Raw genomic sequence first — 26,611 nt, 5'->3', positions numbered from 1 at the left:
CAATTGGATTATTTGTCATTTTATTGTTGAATTGAAAGAATTCATGTATGTTCTAGATACAAGTCCAGATGTATATACCAGATATATAATTTGAAAATACTTTCTCCTATTCTGTGGATTGTCTTTCACTTTCTTGATGGTGACTTTTTAAGCACAAAAAATCTTTTACCTCTTATGAAGTCCAATGTATACACTTTTTTCTTTTGTAATTGTGCTTTTGGTATTCTATCTAAGAAACCACTGCCTAACCTACAGTTGCAAAGATTTGCTCCTGTTTTCCTCTAAGAGATTTATTGTTTTAGGTCTTAAATTTAGGCTTATGCTCCATTTTAAGTTAACTGCTGTATAGGGGTCCAACTTCATTTTTTGCATATCAATATCCAGTTGTCCTAGCACCATTTATTGAAAAGAGTATTCTTTCTTTCATTGAATTGTCTTAGCATCTTTGTAAAAAATAAACTGGCCATAAATTTAGGGATGTGTTTCTGTCTCTTGATTTAATTCTGTTGACCTGTGTATCTATCCAATGCCAGTACCACACTGTCTTGATTACTGCAGCTTCATATTAAGTTTCTGAATTGAGAAATGTGAGCCTTCCAACTTTGTTACTCTTTCTCAAGATTGTTGTGGCTATACTGGTTCCTTTATATTTCCATAAATTTTAGGATCAGCTTGTCAATTTCTAAAAAGATCAGGTTTCTGGGATTTTGATAGAGACTGCTTTATATCTACAGATTAATTTAGGGAGTATAGTCACCTTAACAACATTACATCTTCTGATCCATGAACATATATTCCATATATTCACATCTTCTTTAACTTCTTTGTTAAATTTATCCTTAAGTATTTTATTCTTTTTGATTTTTGGATTATTCATTGCTAGTCTATAGAAATACAATTGATTTTTATTTGTTGATCTATCCTGCAGTCTTGCTGAACATGTCATTTCTAATAAATTTTTAGTGGATTCTGTAAGATTTTCTATATATGAAGGCACATCATCTGCAAATAGGGATAGCTTACTTCTTCGTCTCCAGTTTACATGACTTTTATTATTTTCCTTGCCTAATTGTCTTGACTAGAACCTCAACATGATGTTAAATAGACATGGAAAAATTAGATATCCTTGTTTTGTTCCTAATCTTAGGGAGAGAGCATTCAATCTTTCACCATTACATATGATGTTAACTGTGGGTTTTTCACAGATGACTTTAATCGGGTAAAGAAAGTTTTCTTATATACCTAGTTTGTTGAGCGTTTTTATCATGAAAAGGTACTTGATTCTGTCAAATACTTTTTCTGCATCTATGGGGATGATCATGTTTTTTTTCACATATTCTATTAACACAGTGTAGTATGTTGTTTTTGATATGTTAAACCAACCTTGCATTCCTGGGATAAATCTCACTTGGTCATGGTGTATACTCCTTTTTATATGTTGCTGGATTAAGTTTACTAGTATTTTGTTAAGGGTTTTTACCTCTATATTCATAAGTGATATTGCTCTATAGTTTTCTTCTAATGTCTTTGCCTTATTTTGGTATTGAGTAATACTGGCCACATGGGATAAGTTGGGAAGTGTTCCTTCCTCTTCTATGTTTTGGAAGAGTTTGTGGAGGACTGATATTAATTCTTATTTAAATGTTTGGTGGAATTCACTATTAAAGCTGTTTAGGCCTGGGATTTTCATTGTGGGAAGTTTTAAAATTATTTACCTAATATCCTGTGATTGGTTTATTAGAATTTTCTATGTATTCTTTATTATATTTTGGTAGTTTGTTTCCTTCTAGGACTTCATCCATTTCATATAGGTTTTGTATATTTTGTTGCATACTATTGTTCATAGTATTCTCTTATATTCCTTTTTATTTCTGTAAGGTCAGACCTACCACCTGATTTCAGGACTTACTATTAAGTTACAGTTATAGCAATGTCTTAGAAAAGACACAGAAAGCAATAATCATAAAACAAGAAAAGGATAAATTAGACTTAAGCAGTATTAAAATTTTCTGCTCCCCCAAATAACATTATTAAGAAAATAAAAAGGCAAAATCCACACTGACCAAAAATATTTAAAATAAGTAAGTGCTTGTTTTTGTTATAAATAAACTCTTATAAGTCAATAACAATAAGATAAACAAGTCAATTTAGAAAAATATGCAAGAGATTTAAATAGATCTTTCACAGAGAAGATATACAATGGCCAATGTGCACATGAAAAAGTACTCAATGTCGACAGCCACCAGATAAGTGTAAATTTAAACAGCAATGTGACAACATTTCATGCCTACTAGTGTGAATATGATTAAGAAAGAACTGAAACAAATGTTGGTCAGGATGAAGAACAACTGAAACTCTCACATGTTGCTTGAGGGCCTGTAAAACAGTACCACTTCTTTGAAAAACTGGCAATTTCTTATAAAGTTAAAAATACATTTACCTAATTATCCAGCAAGTCCTCTCTAGGTATTTATTCTAAGAAAAATGAAACACTTGTACAAGAATATTCACTTTGCCTTTTTCATAGTAACTACAGCCTGGAAACAATTCAAATGTCCATCAGTAGAAGAGATAAACTAATTGCAGTTTAGTCATTTCATGTTACTATTCAGCAATAAAAATAAACTATCCACAACATTGAGGAACATCAAGACCTTCTGTTGAATGAAATAAATTGGACACTAAAGAATACATATGGTATGATTCCATTTACATCAAGTTCAAGAACAGGCAAAACTAAGCTATTGGGAATAGAAATCAGAAAACTGGCTCTGCTGTGGTGGAGAGGTGAGGGTCAACTGCAAAGGGGCCAGAGGGAACTTTTGGGGATGATGGAAATGTTTTGTATTTGGTTTTAGTGTTTATTACACGAGAAGAGTATATGTGCGTCAAAACTCACTCCACTAAAAACTAAAATCTATGCATTTCACTGTATGCAAATTAAACCTCAAAAAAACCATTCAGAAACATTTTAGGTAAGAGACGGTGGAAGCAAGTGCTTTTAATTTTCTTCCAGGTGGCATGGATGGATCTTACTGTTGTTACCTGCAGCTCAGCCTGCAGGGTTCAGTGTCCTTGCACCTTGGAACACTGGCATTCCACTTGCCAGTCTTGTGTACAATAAGAACACAGGTGCACCCATCCAATCCCTCCCCGCCATGCCAGCGACGCCTGGGCAATCCATAGTCAGCAGCACACTAGATATGCCAAGGGCTCTCTGATTACCATCCTTTTATAAACCCTGGCACTAGCTTCCCCATCAGCATGTTAAATTTCAAACATAAGCCAATTCTAAATTATTCAGAAATGAATGACTGGAGTTAACACTGAGAAGCAAAATTGCTTATGGAGGGAGGAAAGAACACAGAATAGGGCCCAGAGTTTGGAGCTCCACTCCCAGTCCACTACTTCTAGGCTCTGTGATCTGAGATAAATCTTAAGTTTCTTATCTTTATAATGCGGGGATGATGATAACACGACACACAAGTGCTGGACAATGGCCTAGCACTTGGGGAGGAATAGCTGAGAGGCAGAAATGAAAGCCTGTGGTAGAATGTGAATTTCCAGGTGTACTTATGGTACACGTTTTATTCAAAGCTCCTCACTCCCTGCCTCCCCTGTACCCCCACCAAATACACACACACCTGGACGTATTTTTGAAAACTTTACTGTAAATTAGAACCTTTATCAGAAATAAAGAACTTTTAACTGTTCAAGTCTGCTACTTTTGAAAACTCTGGAGAAACATTGGCTCCTGCCTTCTCAAAGTCTCTGTGGCTTCCATTCATCTGAATATAGAGACAATCAAGATTTGGACCTTGGCATCCTTTAAAATCAGATGTCCAGGTTAAAAACATTTGCAGTGGTTTAAGCATCCAAGGATGCTTTTAACCTGGGCATCCGATTTTAACAACAGACTCTTTCCTGATCACAGTTAGAAAATGACATCCTGTGCCTGCTGCTCTGAATTCTTACTCATGCCAGGGTATCACACTTACCCTAAGAGAGCAAACCCTGAGAGCCATCTCACCTGCTGACGAAGGTCAGGGCCAAGGCTGTGGCCAGGTGGGGCATCAGCCGCAGGGTCTGTGTTTGGTGCTCAATGATCTTCACCTCTTCCTTGGTTTTGGGCCCAAACTGCCTCCGGCTAGAGGGAATCAACAGACACGATTTTTACCAAAATCCAGGAGCGGGAGGTAACTTCATTTCCAGAGCTAAAAATGCTGGCTAGCCATTTGCCTTCCAAAGACTCCAGAATGCAGAAATCTGAATTTCCTAAAATGTGGTTAGGGCAAGACAGCCTAAGTTTCTGAGGAAAGCCCAACAGGAAGCTTTTCAGCTCTTCTAGAAGTTAACCTTCCCAGCGTGGAACATTTTTAAAGCAGCACATCTATCTAACACCAGAGTAATTTTTACTCCTTAACATTTACATGACATTTTATAGTTCCAAGTGCCCCATGATCATTAATTATTCAGCTTTGCTAAATTTGTTACATAATTAATAGGACAGGAGCAATACCCTAGAACATATTTCAAAAGGACATTCTCAACAAGGAGGGTGACATTAACCCTGGTGCTCCTGTCAGATTCACAGGTAGGTCATTACTTTTAGCCCACCTAAACCCCCCTGCAATTCTATGTGGAAAAGGTGTTCTCCATATCCCACCTTAAATCCCTGTGCCCTGCAGACAGCATCTGCGTTGCACTCTGAGGCTGCTATGTCAGGTGAACAAAGGCTTTCCTTGGAACAATTTTTAAAGTGGTGTGGGATTGTCCCCACAGGCAATGCCCAGGGACAAATCCCCCAGGATCTCATAGTTGTAGATTGCAAAGAGCCCAGGCTTTTCATAGAGGTCACCCTCTGCCCCTTGCAGCCTGATGCTCTACATCCTACATTCAGCAGCATGCTGTCTTTGAACAGCTCTGAGTTTAACGCTGGTTTATGAAAGAACAACATTTCACTCACACACACACATACATTGTGCTATGTTATCAAGCATGGTGGGCAAACCTTTGCTTCACACACCAATGGGGTGAGAACATCCATCAACCACTCAAAGAGAAGAAGCAATTGTTTTAAAAATCTTATATTTGATAAAGACTTTCTTAAACATAATCTTATACTTAAATATTGTGTTTATTTGTAATTGAAAGAAGGGCATCATAATCTTTTTAGTGTTTAAGGCATCTCATAAGTCTGGTGCTGTCATGTGGGTGGTGAGGACAAATGATAAGCACACACAAGGAAGGCCGCGTGCAAGCACCGTGAGTACAGCCTCATTTTGTAAGAGCACAGACTTCCCCCAGGCACAGTCTAACCACCCCACAGATGACTGTTTCAAGAATACCACCCCAACCCGCCCTTCATCCATGCCTGCCCCTCCATCCTAGTTCACGCCCAACCACAGCAGGCTCGTGGCTCCAAATGAAAAGGCTGTCAGTCTACAGGGAAACCTCTCAGCTTTTGCTGGATCACGGTGAAAATAACAAAAAAAAATCCCAAAGCCAGTAGTGGTGTCATCATGATGTTAGGTCACTGCTAAGGACTGAACTGTGTCGCCCCAGAATTCACATATTGAAGCCCTAACAACCAATGTGACTATTTGGAGATAGGGCTTTCAGGAGGCAATTAAATTAGGTGGTAAGGATCCTATCTGATAGAATTGGTGGCCTTATAAAAAGAAAAGAGAAAGGTCCCTCTCTCCCCACACCCATGCTCTGAGAAAGACCATGTGAGGACACAGCAAGGTGGCGGCTGTCAGCCATCTGCCGGCCAGGAAAAGCGCCCTCACCAGACCTGTCAGTGCCTTGACTTTTGACTTGCAGTCTCCAGAACTGTGAGAAATAAATTTCTATTACTTAAGCCGCCCAGTCTATGGCATTTTGTTACAGCAGCCCAGGCTGATTAACATAATCATTTTACAAATTCCATGTGTTCCTCTCACTTAACTTCCATTTTTACATGCTGTGATTCTACTGTAGCTTTATCTATGGTTGTTGTGGCTAGACTCTTACCTACCAAAACCAGACAATGGCCACATGCAATCCACCCCACTGGGGGACATCTGTGTGTCTGCCCTGTGCCCAGCATCATGCTAGGCACTGGACATTTACCAGGTCAAGAAGGCTGAGTCCCAGCCACTGAGCCCAGAGCCTGGGACATGGAGAAAACCCAGAAAAGGCGGCACGTGCAGAGAGAGCCTTGGGCATGGCCCCATGCTCCAGAGCTTCACTTGAGGACATTTTACCCACACAGTGACAGCAAAAGCAGTGATTGACCACAACACCATTTAGTTTTCTTTTTTGTTGTTGTTGTTGTTTGTTAGGTTGGTTTTTTTTTTTTTTTTTTGGCTGAAAAATAAGTACGATAATAATACAATTTTTTTTTTTTTTTTTTTGAGACAGAGTCTTGCTCTGTCGTCCAGGCTGGAGTGCAATGGCGCAATCTCGGCTCAGTGCAACCTCTGCCTCCCAGGTTCTAGCAATTCTCTGCCTCAGCCTCCCGAGTAGCTGGGACTACAGGCACCCACCACCACACCCAGCTAATTTTTTGCATTTTTGGTAGAGACGGGGTTTCACCATGTTGGCCAGGCTGGTCTTGAATTCCTGAACTCAGGTGATCCACCCGCCTCGGCCTCCCAACGTGCTGGGATTACAAGTGTGAGCCACCACGCCTGGCCAATAGTACAATTTTAAACAGCATCTCATCAAAATTTGTTTCTATGGCGAACTCTTTGTCTTGGCCACCATAAGCTCAATATTCATTTAATGAATGAAAGAATGAATTCATTTCACAAATGAGGAAATGCAAAAAAAGCAAAGCAGAGTGGCCACTGGAGACCTCAGAGAAGGTCTTTGGATGCCAGATCTGACCCCGACCTGTTGTGCCTCAGTTTCCCAATGGAGGCACACCTTGTAGCGGTGCCATTTCCTCTTTGACCCTCACAGTTCCTCTTTGACCCCACAATTGGGGTGATGGGTGAAGAGCAGAAAGAGGCCACCAAGGCTCCATGTGGCAGGCCTCGCAGTGCCTCTCCCTGTGCTGACAGAGAGGAGTTATGTTCTCCTAATCCACTGCTGAGTTCCCAGGTAATTTCACAAAAATCAAGAGTGTTCACGAGAATCTAAATGTCCAGACTTTCTTTAAAAATAGGAAGATCTGGCACCTCCGGACTCTATTCCCATAATGCAATCTGCTGGAACTCAGAAGCCCAACCCTCCAGGCAGGAAACGGCTATCCCCTGAGGACGCCAGAGCCCTTTCCACTCCCTGACATTACCTGCTGGCCCAGGGAGCACTGAGTTTTTAGCCACATTGCATTTTTTATTCCATCCAGAATAAATTGGCATCAGCATCCTAATTTGTTAATTATGTTCTGTAACTGTGATATACAGCCAAGCACAGACATTCTATGTGAGTCTATGAATTTACTGGAAGAACTTCTAGGGAGCAAAACGGCTCTGGCCAGCTTGTAGGGAATAAAATCCAAAAACGCCTCAGCTTGGCATTCAAGAGTCCGCTATAGCTTGACTTGAGTGTTCCAGCCTTTTCTCCCACTAAGCCCCTTCAGATGCTTCCCATCCTGGACCTCTGTCCAAGCAGGGCTCTCTGCCTGCAGCTGACCCCACCCCTAACTGCCAGTGTCTAATTGGACTCATTTTTGGTGGCTCAGCCACATGCCCTCTCCCCAAATTGAGACTTCTCTGATTCTCCCCTTCTCCTTGGCACACCCCTTCAAAACTAAACAGAACCAAACCAACCAAAGCAGGAAGTTGCTTTTCCCTGGAATGCCCTGAGCATTTCATGTTGCCCCTCCTGCGAGGCCCAGCACCTTCCCTTTCCAGCTGGTGTCATGTGCACCTGTGTTAACCATGTGCCTCTGATGCTTGGACATCTGAGACTTTACTGACCCTGGAGGGACAGGGGCTCCCAGGGCCAGCTAATTGCTGAAGACAGCAAACGACTCCCTTTGAGTGCATTTTTCATATGCAAATGAATCAGTTCAGGACCCCATTCCCGCTGCTTCCTTTATCTGTCTCTTCCACTCAGGGCCTAACCTAGTCTCCCCAGGGCCAGGTACCAGACAACTCAGGACAGACAGATCCTATGCCTCAGAGCCTTCTGAAGTTATCCATACTAGCCAGTCTTAAACCTGCTTACCAACCCTGCCCATCTCTTCCTGTGGAAACCACAATAAAGGCTCTTGCCCACATTTTCCCTTCATGCCCTCTCCCTTCTAACCAATGCTATTGTTTCCCCGTGTGGCCCTGCGTGGCATGGCGTGCCCCTTCTCTTGGGAACTGTGAGTAACAAACTATGCTTTCAATGGCTGTCCTCTTCTGATCTGCCAAGCTCACCATACTGAGTAATAATACAACCTACATTTTAAAACAGCACCTGTCACTGGACTCAGCCCACTGAGGGAAGGCCCGCTCAGTCTTCTGGTGCCCCAGCCTGGCCTGACATATGCACCCAGGAAAGACAGAGGCAGGAGGGCAGATGAATGTCCTGCCAACTCCCAGCAGCTCCACAGCAACCCCTCCACCCACCCTTCCCTGCTTCTCCTTGGAACGTTTGCTTGTCATTAGATGCTCTGAACAAAATTCAATTCTCAGACACTGGTGTGCTGGCTGGGAGCCAGGGCAGTTAGGACAGGGATAGAAGATGAAATGAAAGGAAGGAGCCTCCCCTATGCCCAATAGCCCATTCCACCACAGGCTTTCCTGCCAGGGGCCAGAGGGAAACAAGTGGGTGGGCAGAAGAGTAGGCACCACCCAACTCTTTCTTTCCCTCCCTCTGGCCCAAGACCCTGACAATCCCCAAGCACTGAGCAGGGAGTTTACTCTCACTTCTCACCACCCATCAGATGTGCTCTCTGGCTTCTCCAAGGAGGAATGACACTGAGGGCTACTGAAGCTTCTCCCACCCAAAGATGCAGCAAGAGGTCAGCCCTGTGACTGCCACCATCAGCCCCATGCAGGCAGCCTGGCAACAGCAGAGGTAGCAGAGACCGAGGGCCTCAAGACTTAGGGTCCCCAGAGGGCCTGGCCCGTGAGAGACCCTGCCCTGCCATGCTGTGGTCACCCTCTTATTTATGCTCTCAGGCCCCATTGGCCTCACCAAGGGCCATGACAGTCCAGGCCTGGACTCTGGTTGCCAGCATCCTGGCACAGGGCCCTGAACACAGCTCACAGGGCTGTAATCCCTGCAGCTGGCCAGCAATTACCGCCTGCCAGACATTTTTATTGTTCCAGTTTATGATCTATGTGGACACAATATTCTTCCCATCCTTTTCCTCCACTGGGTTACTATTTTCCTTTAAAAACACATACAAAGGCTATATTTCTCTCTGTAAATATAATTTTTATTTCAATACCAAAAAAAAGTCACTTAGCTCAAATTTTTCATGGTCTTTAAAATCAAAAAGTGGTGCTTGTGCGCACAGCGATATCCATGTGAGAATAAAGCCGGGCTCGCAGAGTGCTGTGAATGATGCCATTTAAAATTATAGATTTGAAAAGCTATTTCTAGATTCCAGCAACTCCTAAGGAATAGAGGAAACATTTATTTTGGGTTGTTTTATTTCATTCCCACTCAATTTTGAACGCGGCTGCTTAAGGCAATATTCGTCGGATGTGACATGGCTATTAATCACCAAGGCAGCTACTGCAGGCGCAGCCTCTGGGGGGGCCGCGCCATTCGCCTTCTCCCCTCTCCCTCTGGTCTCTTCTCCCAAAGGAGGCCAGTGACCTACTAAAAAGATAATTACTTCCCATGTTTCCTGCTCTGCAGTACCATTGCAACCAGTCAACTTCAAAGGAGAGGAGCTTTGGGGCTAAGCCTCACCCTGGACTCTGAGACTTCTTAGGGTGCAAACTTGTTTGCAGGTATCCCTGCAACCAGAAGAAGGAGGAACAAAACCTCCTCCACCGTCAAGGTGCTGACCTCTGTAGATAAAAGCTCAGTTCCTTCCTGGGCTCAGGCCACCTTCCTTTGTGGCCACCTTCCTTCATTAATAACCTGACCACAGGCAGGATTCAAGAGAGCTTGTAAGTGCCTGGCAGCTGGACCACTGCACCCCATTCCCAGTGGCTCCCACAGAAACCCTCCAACCTCTCACAGAGTCCACAGCCCATCTGTCCTGTTTCTCCCCCTTCTCTGGGGCACTCCTAGACATACAAACTCAGAGGGCAAATATTTTACAAAGTAGGATATTTTTAATGCCACCAGTTGAACTTGGAAGATTTGGCCCAGCTGGCCAGCCAGGATGTAAACATCTGGCTTCTTATTATCAGTAAGAATGTGTGAGAGTCAGACACCCTGATCTTCAGCCCTAAGCCTCACCACCTCCAACACCAGGTGATCCCACCCTCCACCTTGGGATCATGGAAGGGACCTCGCTGCACACAATTCCTGCTGCTTTTTTGTTTTGTTTCTTGTTCTTCCTTTTTTGTTTGTTTGCTTTTGAGGCAGAGTCTCACTCTGTTGCCCAGGCTGGAGTATAGTGGTACAATCTCAGCACATGGCAACCTCCATCTCCTGGGTTCAAGAGATTCTCCTGCCTCAGCCTCTCGAGCAGTTGGGACTACAGGCCTGCACCACCACGCCTGACTAATTTTTGTAATTTTAGTAGAGACTGGGTTTCATCACGTTGTCCAGGCTGGTCTCAAACTCCTGGCTTCAAGTGATCTGCCCACCTGGGCCTCCCAAAGTGGTGGGATTACAGGTGTAGCCACTGTGCCCAGCCCTGTTTTTTGTTTTTTTAAGTTGAACATGTAATGGTTTGCCCTTTGGGCCTGAGCAATCCTACACTGAAACATCAGCTTAACATATAACATCCTCTGTGTTTTACCTGTCATTCCCATGGGCAATTTTTTCTTTTTCCATTTTTCTTTTTTTTTTTGACAGAATCGTACTCTGTCATCCAGGCTGGAGTGCAGTGGCACAATGGCACAATCTTGGCTCACTGCAACCTCTGCCTCCCGGGTTCAAGCAATTCTCCTCCCTCAGCCTCTTGAGTAACTGGGATTACAGGTGCATGCCACCACACCTGCCTAATTTTTTGTATTTTTAGTAGAGATGGGGTTTCACCATATTAGCTAGGCTGGTCTTGAACTCCTGGTTTCAAGTGATCCACCCACCTCGGCCTCCAAAAGTGCTAGGATTACAGGTGTGAGCCACCACACACCACCCAATGGGCAACTTTCAATCCATCTGTAGAGGAGATGGAAGAAGCCTGTGTGTGTGTAAGTGAGTGTATATGTGTGTGTGTGTGTGTGTGTGTGTGTGTGTGGCGTAGAGATATATGCTTCTTTGATAGTAGACTTGACTGTGATTAAATACACAAAATGGCCCCAGGAAAGAGTTCTCAAAGTGCCCTTCAGATCCTTGAGAAAACTCAACAAATAACTTTTCCACCTTCTCATCACCTCTTTTCCTCCCAACCCTCAACAGTCTATCAATCCAACCACCCCAGAATAGAATACATGATTCTCAATGGTGGTGAAGAGTTCAATGACAATGGCAATTTTTAAACACGGGAATATTTCAGATATGGAAAGAGATGAGAGTCTGTGGCTCTGGTGTCAATGTCACATAGTCTACATACAGAGCAGTGAGAGCACCCCCAAACCTGCAAACACAGACACTAAAGCTCAGATTTCCTTGGCCAGAGAGTGTAGCTCTTCAGAGAAAAAGCCCTTGCCAATTATTCTTTTCCTTTCTCAAAGTTCATGCCAGATCAAAAACCTGGGGAACATAAACACCCTCCCCAACAAGTGCCATGGATTTAAAGTTGTGGCCAAGTATCCAGCAGGGGCTGACACTCTGCTGCTGGAGACTGCAAAGACTGTCTACCCCATCTATTAACACTGCAAAAGCAATGCTGAATGGAGCAGGCTGCAGATCCGTACAGGATTAGGATCAGGCTGCCTCCTCCCACAAGCTGAGGGATGACCCCCGTGGAGACCACAGAAGCCCCTCAGATAGGAGACAACACCACCCAGGATAAACCTGCAGCCCTGGCTCTGTATTTCCATTGAGTGGGTCATTTCTAGCCAGTGTTATAACCCTGACTGACAAGGACCAGTAGGGTCACCCTGGATCTGATATTGGCCAATTTCAGATTCTTTGTTTGAGGGTTCAATTACACAAACAAAAGTGGGTCTAACCCATCACGCTATGGTTCAAACCTACTTAAAATAAACACCAAGGAACCTGGCTGCCTTTGTACTGAGTCTGTTCTTGTCCTCTCTAGTGACTCATGCTGCCTGTAGGAGACCATCCTGGGACCAAGTCAACATCATATCCCCACCTGCATCACCAGCACAAGATAGAATGGTTAGAAATTCAGGCTTTGGATCAGACACACCTGGTTTGCACACAGACTCTAACACCTGCCAGTGTGTTATCTTGGGCAAGTAACAGAAACCCTCTGAGCCTCAGGTTCCTCAACCATTAACTGGGGCTGATAATGAGCATGAGGACTAAGTGATGCCTGACATGTAGCAGGTGTTCAAGGCATAGAAGGCTTCATCATTAGAGTCATTACCATTAACTCTGGAGTCTCTAAAATTACCTGCGATGCTGCTCATCCTTGATCTAGGAAAGCCATTTTAAATTTTCCCCAAAAAGCACTCTTTTTGTTTCTTTTTCCCAAACAAAGCACTAACTTACTCTGCATCACTAAAACTGTTGTAAAAAGAGCTTCAGGGTTAAAGTCTCTTCTACTCGACCTTAAATTAAAGATAATGAGATTGCTGAGAGGGAAGAAAACAAGCTAAGTCCACTGACTTTTTTAGAAGAAGTGTGTGTGTGTGTGTGTGTGTGTGTGTGTGTGTGTGTGTGTGTATGTGTGTGTGTGTTGAAAAGCTTTCTAACAGCACCTGCACCTTTTATGTTCCCCAAAACACCAGCCAATTTTCTTCTTCCCAAATTCCATGTAGAGACAGGGTGGACAAAACAAAAACCTAGGAAAGTGGTGTGGACAGGGCCTCCTAGCACAATGCGTTGCCATAGAAGCCGCGAGTTCTTTCCAGAGTCAATCAGCCGACCCTAGAGAGGAGCCTGAATGTTTTTCAGACAGTTCTCACCCAAGGGAAATTAATTTACTTTTCAGAATGATAGCCTTAGCAATATCTGTGAGTGACAGAGTGGTTAATGTTAGTCGTCAGAACTGTGATTCCTTGAGATTTTTTTTAAAATTGTATACTAATGAATGCAAAACAAAGTTAAAATGGGAGACATGGAGCCATAAATTATAGCTGAGGCTGCCTGGGGTGAGCTAATTATTTCACTGTTGTATTAATTTCATATTTTAAAAAATTGCATGAAGAAACACCTTCCGTCATCAGCACCACTGCAGAGATCTTGCAGAAGCCCCAGCACCTTGGCCATAAAAGTAAGGAAGAAAGAGGGCCAATCCTCTCTGGATCCAGGCCTTCTCTCCTCTTTCCCTTCCATTTCATGGCAGATGCAGAGTCTCTGTCCATCCTGTCTGCCCCAAAAGCCATCCAGAACCTGCTGTCATCTTGGAGGTAGCAAGTCTGACCACCATGTGTGAGCAAGGAGATAAATGCAGAACCCCAACATTCTCCAGGTTCCCGTCACTGAGGTTGAACATCATGAGTCAATAGGTAATCAAATGCACTTCAGAGTGTGCATCCATTTCTTAATGCTCCAAGTTGACCTTAGACTGCTCTTGGCAATGGAAATTGCCCGAGCAGCTTAAGAGCTGAAGCCTCCACTTCCCCTCTCAATCCACAGTCTCAAAGGTAAAGGGTGCCCATAGGCTCTTAAAACAACAGCAGAATCTTTCAATCCATAAACATGGTATGTCTCTCCATTTATTTAGATCTTTGATTTCTTTCATCAGTGTTGTGTTGTTCTCAGGAGTCTTACACATGCTTTTATTAAATTTTCACCTAAGTTCTCAACTTTTTGAGCAATTATAAATTATATTATATTTTTAATTCTGATACCCTTATGTTCATCACCGGTATATACAAATATAATTGATTTTTGCATGTTTATTTTTGCACCCTATGACTTTGCTGAATTCATCTCTTAGTTCTAGGATTTTTTTGTAGATATCTTGGGGTTTTCTACATAAATAAGCATGTCATCTGAATATAGAAACAGTTTTATTACTCCTTTTCCAATCTATATGCTTTTCATTTCCTTTTCTTGCCTATTGCACTGGCTACAACTTCCAGCACTACACTGAATAGCAGTAGCAAGAGCAGACATCGTTGCCTTACTCCTGATTTTAAAGGGAAATAATTCAGTCCTTTACCATAACGTGTAATGTTGGCTGTACAATTTTCGTAGGTGCTCTTTATTCAGTTGAGGATGTTCCTCTTTAGTCTTCCTTGAATGAGTGTTTTCACATGAATGTATACTGAATTTTTCAAACACTTTTTTCTGTATCCATTAAAATGATTATGAGATTTTTCTTCTTTAGCATGTTAATATGGTAGATCAAATTGACTGGTTTTTAAATATTAAACCAGCATTCCATCTCTGGAATAAATCACACTTGGCTGTGATATATAGTTTTTTTATATTGCTAAATTCCATTTCCTAATATTTTGCTAAAATTTTTTGTATCTATATTCATGAAGAATATTGTCCTGCATTCTCCTTTTATTATATTTTCTTTATTTGGTTCCGGGATCAGTATATGGCTAACTTTCAAAAAAAATGACTTGGAAAGTGTTCTTTCTGCTTCTGTTTTCTAAAAGAGTTGTATAGACTGTTGCTATTAATAATTCTTCTGGAAACATTCAGGATTTTCCAGTGAAAACATCTGGCCTGGAGATTTTCTTAGGAGTTTTAAAATCATGAGTTCAATTTCCTTAGCAGTTAAAAGGTTATTCAAATTATCTTACACATTGGGGGAGTTGTGATATTTTGTGGGTTTTTTAACGAATTTATTCTTTACTCTAAGTTTTCAATTTTATGTTTACAGAGTTGTTCCTAGTATTCTCTTATTATTCTTTTGATGTTCTCAGTGTCTACAATAATATCCCCTGTATCATTCCTGATGTTAGTAATTTGTGTAGTCTCTTTTTTCTTTGACAGTCTCACTGTCAAAACGTTTGTCAATTTTATTAATCTTTTCAAAGGACCATTTCTTTGTTCACTGATATTCTCTATTGTTCTGTTTTCCATTTCATTGATTTCTGCGCTTGTCTTTATTACTTTATTCTTTTTGCTTCCTTTCCACGTATTTTGTTCTTCTTTTTCTAGGTTCTTGCTATAGTTTGAATATGTACCCCCAAAATTCATGTGTTGGAAATGTAATCCCCAATGCAACAGTGTTGGGAGGTGAGGCCTAACGAGAGGTGTTTAGGTCATAAGGGCTCGGCCCTCATAATAGGCTAATGCTGTTGTAAAGGGATTGATGAGAGGAGTGCACTCTATTTTGACCTCTCTTGCTCTTCTGCCTTCTGCCATGTGAGGACTCAGCATTCTTGTTCTTTAGAGGACATAGCAGGAGGGCCCTTAAAAGATGCCAGGGCCTTGATCCTGGACTTCCCAGTCTCCAGAACTATAAGAAATAAATTTCTGTGGTATTGTTATAACAGCACAAAATGGACTAAAAAGACCATTCTTTAAGTGAGAGCTTAGATATTGATTTGAGACTTTTCCTCATTTCTAATATATGCATTTAGCACATTTAGTGTTACAAAATTTTCCTCTCAGCACTGCTTTAGCTGTGCCCTACAATTTTTGATATATATTTTCAGTTCCATCTAGTTCAACATATTTTTTAAAAATTTTCCTGAGAGTTCCTCTTTTTACTATTAGTTATTTAGAATTGTGTTGTTTATTTAGGAAGTGATGGCGAGTTTTCCTGTTATCTTTGTTACAAAGTTCTAGTTTGAATACATCATGGTCAGAGAACTCACTCTGTATGACTTCAATTTTTAAAAATTTGTTGCAGTTTTTTTTTTCTGGATAAGATATGGTGTATCTTGGTAATGTTAGGTAAGCACTTTAAAAGAAGGTGTACTCTACTTTTGGTGGACGAAGTGTTCTATAAATGTCAATTAGATCCTATTGGCTGATAGTATTGTTGAGTTTTTCTATATTCATGCTGACTTTCTGCCTAGTTCCATCAATTGTTGAGAAAGGACTGTTGAAGTCTCCTACTACAACTGTAGATTGGTCTATAGTCCTTTCAGTTCTGTTAGTTTTCACTTCACGTATTTTGCAGGCTGTGCTGTGTTTTACATAGACATTTAAGATTACTGTATCTTCTTGATGGATTGACCCTTTTAATCATTACTGAAAGTCCTTTTATTATCTCTGAAAATTTACTTTTCCCCAAAGTCTACTTTATATGAAATTTAAGTAGCCACTCCTTCTTTTTTTGGCAAATCTTTGCACGATATGTCTTTTTTCATTCTTTGACATTTAACCTGCCTATATTGTTACATTTGAAGTGAGTTTCTTATAGACAGCATAGAGTTCAGTTACGTTTTTAAATACACTTTGTCAAGCTCTATTTTTTAACTGAATTATTTGACCATTTACATTTAATGTAATTATTGATATGTTAGGGCTTAAGTCCGACTTTTTAAAATGTTTTCTCTGTTTTTCATTTCTGTTTTATTTTTCTTGCCTTTCTTTAGGTTACTTGAATATTTTCTAAAATTCCATTTTGATGCACCTATAGTGTTTGTGAGTATATCTCTTTGTATAGGTTTTTTTCCTGGTTGCTCTAACTATTACAATGTTATATACATAACTCATTACAGCCTACTTGGGGCAGAATTTTACCAGTTCAAACCAAGTACAGAAAACTTAACTCTTTTATATCTCGTTTCTTTCCCCTGTGTATAATTGTCTTAAATATTTCTTCTATTAATTTAGAACCACATCAGGCAGTGTATTAACTTTTGCTTACTGCCAAACATAATTTAGAGAACTCAAGAGGAGATGGAAAGTCTATTGTATTTGTGTGTTTTTTGTTTGTTTTGCTTACTATAGAATTTTGTGGTTCCAAGGTTCTTTCTTTTATTGTTTCCTTTCTGTTTAGAAAAATTTCCTTAGCAATTCTTTTAGGATTCTTTTAGTTTCCCTTCATCTGAAAGTGCCTTGATTTCCTTTTCATTCCTGAATGACATTTTTACTGGATATAGAATTCTGGCTCGATAGTTCTTTCAGTGCCTGAAAAATGTCATGCCACTTTTTTTCTGGCCTCCATGGTTTTTGATGTAAAATTTGCTATGATTCCAATTGTTTCTCTCTCTCTCTCTCTCTATTGTTTTCAAGATTTTTTCTTTGTCTTTAGTTTTTGGATGTTTCACTATGATGGCTGTTGGTGTGAATTGCTCTGGGTTATCCTGTTTGAGGTTTGCTTAGCTTCTTTCATCGATAGATATGTCTTTTGTCAAATTTGGGAAGTCAGCCATTATTTCTTTGAGCACTTTTTCAGCCCTCCTATTTCATTCTTTTTTCTGAGACTTGAAAGACACAAATGTTAGATCTTTTGTTAAAGTTCCACAAGTTCCTGAGACTTTTTCTTTATTTCCTTTTTTTCCAGGCTATATTCTGTTTAGATTTGGTAATTTCTATAGTTCTATCTTCTAGTTTACTGATTCTTTCCTCTGTCCTCTTTATTTTTCTGTTGAGACCATCCAATTAGTTTTTCCTTTAGGTTAATATATTTTTCCATTTGAAAATTTTCACTTGGTTCTGCTTTATATCTTCTATTTGTTTGCTTAGACTTTATATTTTCTGCTGAGATTTTTTCATGTTTCAGCATGTTTGTCATTTCTCTTTTTGAAACATTTTTATGATGGCTGCTTTAAAATATTTTTCAGGTTACTCTAACATCTCTGTTATTTTGGTGTTAGCACCTATTGATTTTCTTTACTCATTCAGTTTGAGATATACCTGATTCTTGATATAGTGAGTGATTTTCATTTGAAACTGTATATTTTCATGTTATATTGTGAGACTCTAGATCTTATTTAAGCATCTGGTCTGACTGTATTGTGGCAGGGAAAGGAGTCATTACTGACAGGCAGAGGTAGAAGTCCAGGTTCCCCACTTGTTCTCTATTACCCAAGTGATGGTGCTGGGCTCCTCATTACTGCTAGGGAGGGGCAGGAGTTCTGGCTCCCCATATAGTCTTTACTGGCACAGCAGTGGGTGTAGTGTCATAATTGCTGAAGAGCAGTGACAGTTCTAACTCTAGTTGGCCTCCTGTAACACCACCACTGCAGGAGGTGGCAGGAGTTGTCTAGGTTGAGGTAGGTGTCCAGGATCCCCACATGGTCTCTCCTGAAGCCACAGGTGCTAGGGCCTGTTACTTCCTAGCAGGGCAGGGATACCAGTCCCAGATCCCTGTTTGGCTTTTATTTGACACCACCCTGATAATGGAGTTACGGAACCTCATTACAGCCTGGGGAGGGCAGAAGTCTATACTCCCCACTCAGCTTTTGTTGGCATGGATGGGGTGGGACACCAGTTTTTTTGGTGGTGTTTGACTGAAGTAGAACATTTGGCTAAAAGTTTTCTGTCTTGGTGGGTGTCCCATTTCTGGTCCTCTGGCTAGAGAAAGCAGGCTCATTTGGGCTTTTTTTTTTTTTTGGTCTGTTCCTACTGGTGATTCTGGGTGGTCAGCTTCACCAGTACCTTGTCTAGGAAAAATAAGACAAAAAGAAAACCAGAGAGCTCTCTATTGCATCATTCTTGTCTCCACCTTTCAAAGTCTTCTTAGATCTGTTCTATTTATGATGTCCAGGCTTTTTAGTTGTTGTGGGAGGAATAGAGAAAAGTATACCCACTACATTTTCCTGGAAGTAAGTTCTATTGCAGGTTTCAAATATGACATATTTAGATACGACTTTTAGAAAGTTCACCTGGCAGAAGTGTGAAAATTGACTGATAATGTTAAATTTATTTAGCTTCCATATAAAGAGCGATAAACAACAGAGACAAAGAGAGAGAAAGAGAGGCCATGCACAGATGTTAATACGTAACACATATGTCATATTTTCTCCCTTTAAAAAATATCTCTCAAAGATGTACTACTAATTTAATAATAATCTATGAGGAATAAGAAAATATTACATGGTAAATGTGTGCACAATTACAGACATCTCAATGTCAAAATAAAAAAACAGACAGGTATATATGCTACAATCAAGGGATAATGAATATCTTCAACATATATTAACATATTCAATTAGGGCTATATCATGAAGAGGTATATATCCTGCTTTTCTATTTACCTAATATTCCGTTGTATGCAATTCCTCTTGTCATTAACTATACTTGAAGGCATAATTTTCATGATTATTTCCTTAGGGTAAATTTATAGAAAACTATTACTGTATCAAAACATGCAAACTTTTTTTAAAGCCCTTGACACACATCACCAACTCACTCTCCAGAAAGATTATATCAATTTTTATTCCTTCTCCCAGTGTATAACTTGCCTATCTTAATACATTCCTACCAAAGCTGAGTATTTTTCCTTTCAAATGACTTTGCTAATTCAACAAAGTAAAATATTATCTCATTTTAATTTGCCTTTTTTTGATTATTAATAATTTTTCTATCTTATATGCATATTAATTATTAGCTATGTATATGTCTTCTTCAAATCGTCCATAGCTTGCCCTTTTATATACTGTGGTATTAGCATTTTTCTTACTTATTTATAGAAGCTCTTTATATATTAAAAAAATTAAACCATTGGTAGTCATATTTGTTTGGATGTCTCTACTGTGACATAGTTTTAGCTTTGCTTTTGAAATATGTACACTTTTAATTTTTATATAAACAATTTAACCTAATACTTTTGCTTTGGGATTTTTTCCTATTAGAAGCATTTTTTAACTGTATGAAATGTTGGGTCACTTATTGTACTTTGCCTATGTTACTCTGTGGTTTGTTTTAACTTTTAAAGATGAGCAGAGGTGAGAGATGTAGGTCTACCCCAGTGGGATATGGGAAAAAATCTACCAACATAGTTAACTGCAGCAAGTGCCACTAGGCTGATCCAAGAAAGATCTATGAAGGTGAACAGGCTCCTGTTTATACCTGCTTAAAATAGCCATTCCCTCTTCCCAGACAATTCCCTTGATCTTCCTCCTTCCAACTGACTTGACAGACAAGTCCTTGCTTTAACCTCTCTCCCACTTTATTTTCTAATCTGCCAGGAAGTTAATACAAGTCCTGAGCCTCCCTGGATATAGCTTTTTTCAGGCATCCCTTTTTCATCTTTGATTTTACAATTGAAAAAATAAGTAAAAGCAAACTTTACTGTTTTGCTGGCAACAGAATATGTGTCTTCAGTGCACAGGAATATTTTCCTAAGAGAAAAAAAATCCTGGGGTGGGTCTATTATAATAACCACCCCTCCGAGCAAAAACTAAACACTTCATCCTCCATTGAAAACTTTCTGGTGACCCAGTGGTTGAGCGCCATTTATGTCCAACATCTGGATGTCAGGTGTTGGATGAACACATCTGTCATCAAGGCCCAGAGCACAGCAATGAGAAATCCCCTCAGCTGGAGCCAGCCAACAGACCCCTGACTGGTTTGCTACCCCTCAGCCACAGATTAATCTGCATGGTACCTAATACAGCTGCAGGTTTCCCAGGACTTCATTTCAGGGCGTTCTTCCTTTGCCACCCAGATTTCACCACCATCTGTTGTCTGCCTAATCTATTACCTGGCTCCATCCCAAAGGTCAGCACCATCATCTGGGTTATGATAAGCCCATTTCATTTCTTGGTATTGATGTATCCTTGCACATAATTGAAAATTAAAAAGAAAATAACCTGACTCTTGTTATTTTTACAAAAAGCATTTCCAAAATTAACAATGTATTATGCCTGTGACAAAAGCAATTTATCTGATTTGCAGAGATATGGCCTGGGAATAAACTTCCACAAGGTCATCTGAGTTTTTGTGTAAGATCTTTGGATACTAGAAATTATCCAAATCATGGAATGTCAAAGAATGCAACACAAGATGACAGCCTGAGTGAATGCATTTCAAAAAGGCTTCGGGAGGCAAGTGGAAGCTGGACCACAGAGAACCTGCCAAGAGTCAGGAGGCCAAGGTCCTTGTACCACCCCTGTCATGGACTGGACCTGACATAGCAGCTCACTTCTGAACTTTGCTCAAAAACAAAACCCAATTTCATGCCTAGTTCCACTGCTTTTGCTGACCTGTATAAGATGGTACTGATACCAAAGCACTTTCCATTTAATTGCTGAAATTGATTTCTAAAACATTTAAAGTCTCTGGAAACTGCTCTAAGGCATACAGCAAATGGAGGAAGATCTAAATTTCAGTAAAAACAATGAGAGTCTGTAGTATTTGAGCCACAATCCACTTATATTACACTCCCCACCTTACCCCAATAGCTCAGTGTGACAAAAGGTCTTCTCTGGGTAGGTGAATTAAGCATCAAATAGAAAGGCAGGTATTGTCATACTAGATTTTAAAAACAAGTTTCACCTAATTCTCTAGATAAAAGACATATTTTAGATTCAAAGATACAAATAAGTTGAAAGTAAAATGATGGAAAAAAAGATCTATAAATAGCAACCATAAGAGATGAGGTGAATATATTAATATTGTACAAGATAGACTTTTTAAATACTTATAACTATAATGAGGAAGAGTGTATAATTATCCTTTAGGTATCCAGAAAGCTATTTCTATTTGAAAAGAAGTAACTCTATCTCTACTTGCAGATAACATGATCTTGTATATAGAAAATCCAAAGGAATCCACTGAAATCAGTTAGAATTAAAAAACAAGTTCAGCAAGGTTGTAGGATACAAGATAAATATACAAAAATTAATTGTATTTCTATATACTAATAATGAACAATCCAAAAATTAAAAAGCAATTCCATTTATAATAGCTGCTAAGTAAAAGACTCAGAACAAATTAACAAAAGAAATATAACACTTGTGTACTGAAAACAAAAAAAAAGTTGAAAGAAATTAAAGAAGGTCTAAATAAATGGAAAGACATTTTATGAAAATGGCAATACTTCCCAAACTGAGCTGCAAGTTCAATGTAATCTCCATCAGAATCCAAGTTTCCTCATTTTTCAGATATCAACAAGATGTACCGAAATTCACATGGGAATTAGAAGGGGCCCAGGAGAGCCAGAGCAATCTTGAAAAAAAAGAATAATGTTGAAAGACTCACACTTCTCAATTGGAAAACTTGATACACAGCTACAGTAATTGAGAAAAGGTGATACTGGCATAGGATAGACATATAGATCAATGGAATAGAATTGAGAGTCTAGAAATATATCCTTATATTTATTTCCATTGATTTTTCCTCAAGAGTGCCAAGATAAACAAATGGTGAAAGAATAGTCTTTTCAATGAATAGTACTGAAATAACTGGATATTCACATGAAAAAGAAAGAAGTTTGAGCCCTTCCTCACACCATACACAAAATTAACTCAAAATGGATCACAGACCTAATGCAGGAGTTAAAACTATAACACTCTTAGAAGATAGCATAGCAGCAAATCCTCATGACCTTGGATTAGGCAATGGTTCCTTAGGTATGATACCAAAAGCAAAGATAAGCTGGACTTCATTAAAATTAAAAACTTCTGTGCTTCCAAGGATGTCGTCATCAAGAAAGTTAAAGAAAATCATCAAGAAAGTGAAAAGACAATCTACAGAATGGGAGAAGATATTTGCAAATCATATCTCTCATCATGGAATGATATCTGGAATATATAAAGAACTCATCCAACTCACTAATAAAAAGATCAATAACAAAATTTTAAACATGGATAAAGAATCTGAACAGACCTTTCTCCAGAGAAGGTATACAAATGGCTAATAAGCACATAAAAAGATGTTCAATATAATTAGTCATTAGGCAAATGTAAATCAAAATCCTAATCAGATACTACTGCACATCCATTAGAATGGTTATAAAAGGCAGATAATAGCAAGTATGGCTAGTATGTGGAGAAATTGAAATACATACTGCTTGGTGAGAATATATAATGGTGCAGCTACACTGAAAAAATATTTGGTAGTTCCTCAAAATGTTAAACATAGAGTTACCATTTGACATAGCAATTCCATTACAAGGTAGAGAAATAAAAACATGCATGACTGTTGATAGGAGCATATTCACACTAGCCAAAAAGTGGAAGCAACCCAATGTCCATCAGTTGATGAATGGGTTAATAAAATGTGGTATAGGTATACAAAGGAATACTATTTGGAATATAAAAAGAAATGAAATTCCAATACATGCTGTGACACACTTGAATCTGGAAAACTGTAGGCCAAGTGAATGACATCAGTTCCAAAAGACCACCTATTATATGATTTTATTAAAATGAAATGGCCAGAATAGGTAAATCTATAGAGACAGAAAGTGGATTTGTTCTTGTCTAAGGCTGCAGGGAGGGGTAATTGGGAGTGACTACTAAAGAATACAGGGTTTCTTTCAAGGGTTGATAGAAATGTAAAATTAGATTGTGGTGATGGCTGCACAACACATTGAAGACACTAAAAGCCATCATATGGCATACCTTAAATGAAACAATTTTACACAATGTGGATGATATATCAATAAAGCTGTTGTTTTAAAAAAAATTAGTTGGGGTGGTTAATTTTACTTCACCATGGGCTCTTGAATTTCCACTTGCTGCTACTGATGAGGCACTGCCTGCATCTCATCATAGGTGTTTAGACATCCATGTGGCACTTTGTGCACTCGTGTGGTAAATGCACAGAGTGCTAGTAGGTTCTATACAGTTGAGTGCAAAATAGCAATTAAAATGTCCTCGGATGTTCATTTTGATGATAAAGTAGAAGACTTCTGAAATGCAAGACAAAACTCACTTCAGGAACACTCCATGCAGAAGGTATTCTAAATTTGGCTGTGTTATTAAACTAATTTCTTGAACAAAAGCTACTGGTCTGGCGTCTTTGGTTTTTCCTGCAATTCTCTTTAGACAGACAGGTTTGCTCTCCTAACTATGAATTTTCTTTTGCTTGTACATTATTCATAAGTTTTAAATGGCACCTTCTGTCACAGTTTTACCCCAGACACTAAAAACTTCTTTCAAGTTCCATTATAATTTGAATCTGCAATTTCCTCCTCCTAAGCAAACCACAAAAGTACCTTAAGTTCAAATGAGATCTTTGCTTTTCCTCCCTGTCCTCCAGGCGTAGCCATGACTTTAGATAATCACCAGCCCAAGTAATGGGAAAGTAGAAGGATTTAAGACTCACACAGATTGAAATCCATGCCACCAACCTCTAGCACTACTGTCAAGACAAATGGGGCAAAATAAATCAGAAGGACATTCGTGCAGTATCCTATGAGAATATGGGCCCTATTAGTCAGGGTCCATTGACTTTTTCTTGGGATATAGGAAGGGAGGAGTGAAGAAGATTCTGGTTATCATGGAGTGTTGTGTTTAAGTGTACCTGAGATAAAGAAAGGAAATGAGGATTTATGGAGCAACACTCTATCTGCCACATGTGGGGCCTCTGCTGGGTGCATCCACGGGGTACAGCAGTAAATAATCCTTTGAGGGAGGTATTAGTAAACCCAAATTTCTATTATAGCAGAAACCAAGTCCCAGTAAAGCCAAATCATTTGCATGAAGTCCCAGGACAAGCCTAGGTCATGTTGGAACTTGATCCTAAACACTTCCCGTCCCTTCCAGTTCCATACTGGGGTAATTTCGTGATGGTATACGACCCACTGAGCAGTGCCCAGGGTGATAGGGGTTGGGTTTGGGTCTTCCTTGAGCCATTTACTCTAAAAGAAAGCAAATGCCTGAGATTGTATTGACTATAGAAGCCCCAGCTACAAAAGAAAGAAAACAAATGGAGACTAATCATTAAAACTACACTAAATATTTATCAGCAGAGAAAGTCTTTTGGGAATCACTTAAAATGTTTATTTATTCAAATTACTCAAATAATTGTCTTTTTCTTCAAATAAACGTTGGGAATTTTGTGTGCCTACAGGAGAGGTAAACAGACGCCCTCCAATGTCAGCAAGAGAGCAAATGTTCTCATTATGAAAAATAAAGAAAGAAACAGCAAAACCTGGATATTATCCAAAAAGATAATGCTGGACTTTCTACTCAAACTAGAAAGGCAACACACACTTTAGGGTAACAGTCAATAATGGGGACAGCATGTTGGCTCACACCTATAATCCTAGCACTTTGGGAGGCCAAGGCAGGAGGATCACTAGAGACCAGGAGTCAGAGACCAGCCTGGGCAACAGGGTAAGGCTCCATCTCTACAACTGAAATAAAAATAAAATTAGTTGGGCATGATGGCACATGCCTATAGTTCCAGCTACTCAGGTGGCTGTGGCAGGAGGATTGCCTGAGCTCAGGAGTTCAAGGCTGCAGTGAGCTATGATCATGCCACTACACTCTAGTCTGGGTGACAGAGCAAGACTCTGTCTCTAAAGATAAAAATAAAGTAATAGTAAATTAATTCCCCAAGTTGAAATGCTAGGAATGGCCTCTAGTAATTGGATAACACTGAGCAGCCGGGTGCCTGTCCGTGAGAGGTGGCCACTAGGCTGGGCCCTAGAGCTGGAATTTTTATTCTCTGTTCCCATTGAAAGGTGGGAACATGACCAAGGGATGCAGAGGAACTGAAAGTCAGTGCACTGCCCTTGATATCAGTGGTCTGGTCCTATACAAAAGAATTTTGATGCATTGTGTAATAGAAGCCAATTTTCACTTTCCATATCAGGGAGATCTGGGAATTCAGAACATGGTAACGGAGTCAATGATTTCACTTTCAGATCAGAGTTTTTCCACCCCAGATCGTCCTTGCCAGGCAGAGACAGGCCATCTGCCTGGAGAGACATACACAGCAGACCCGTGGACGCCAGGCCAGCATCTCCTAAGCGGCACTCTGCAGACATCTTGCCACACAACATTCTCAGATAAAAAGTTTGGGATAGTGCAGTGAGAAGCCTATAGGGATCTGCCACGGGAAAACCCAGAACAGTTAAGTGGCTGATTTCACGAGCAAGCGTAAGAAACGTTAGCAAAAACCAGTTTTCAGGAAATTAGCCTGGTCCACAAGAGGGGCTCAATAAAGACCAGCTGGAGCTGAACAGCAGTTCTGGGAGATGATTCTGGACCTAGAAAAAGGGACAGAAAAGTGAGATGGCAACAAATTCAGTTCTTCCGCAAGGCTAACTCCAGTCAAAGGGTGAAACTTGGCATTCAGAAGGATAGGGGAGGGACAGACGCAGTGGCTCAAGCCTGTAATCCCAGCATTTTGAGAAGCCGAGGTGGGTGGATCACCTGAGGTTAGGAATTCAAGACCAGCCTGGCCAACATGGTGAAACCCCATCTCTACTAGAAATACAAAAATACTAGCCAAGCGTGGTGGTGCATGCCAGTAATTCCAGCTACTCAGGAGGCTGAGGCAGGAGAATCGCTTAAACCCAGGATGTGGAGGCTGCAGTGAGCCAACATCATGCCACTCACTCCAGCCTGCGCAACAGAGTGAGAATCCATTAAAAAAAAAAAAAAAAAGAAAAAGAAGGATAGGGTAAAGTCCAGAGTCCAAGCCAGTGGGGAAGAATGCTGTG

General features: G+C 40.1%; 1 protein-coding gene across 31 annotated transcripts in view, besides 1 other annotated feature; it reads right to left on the bottom strand.

The window, feature by feature from the left end:
* ACOXL (acyl-CoA oxidase like) overlaps nt 1-26,611 on the bottom strand; it is a 385,976-nt gene that overhangs the window by 205,613 nt on the left and 153,752 nt on the right. For 26 of the 31 annotated variants that reach the window (NM_001437600.1, XM_011511414.4, NM_001142807.4 and 23 more), the window contains one exon: nt 4,031-4,147. The exons of 4 other annotated variants lie outside the window; for them this stretch is intronic. In NM_001437600.1, the coding sequence (NP_001424529.1) occupies nt 4,031-4,147 (117 nt within the window). Of the gene's footprint in view, nt 1-4,030; nt 4,148-24,918; nt 26,156-26,611 lie in introns of those variants that run through there. One more of the 31 variants, NM_001365487.2, reaches the window with a different exon arrangement.
* Nucleotides 8,999-9,499: an enhancer, noted in NCBI's record as "H3K4me1 hESC enhancer chr2:111661014-111661514 (GRCh37/hg19 assembly coordinates)". NCBI's record gives its function as "activates a minimal SCP1, AML or CMV promoter by ChIP-STARR-seq in primed H9 embryonic stem cells {active_cell/tissue: H9 hESC(primed)}" and the evidence as "EXISTENCE:reporter gene assay evidence [ECO:0000049][PMID:30033119]".

This window comes from Homo sapiens, chromosome 2 (assembly GCF_000001405.40).
Source record: "Homo sapiens chromosome 2, GRCh38.p14 Primary Assembly".
Lineage (NCBI taxonomy): Eukaryota > Metazoa > Chordata > Mammalia > Primates > Hominidae > Homo > Homo sapiens.
This window is presented reverse-complemented; position numbering and strand designations above follow the sequence as displayed.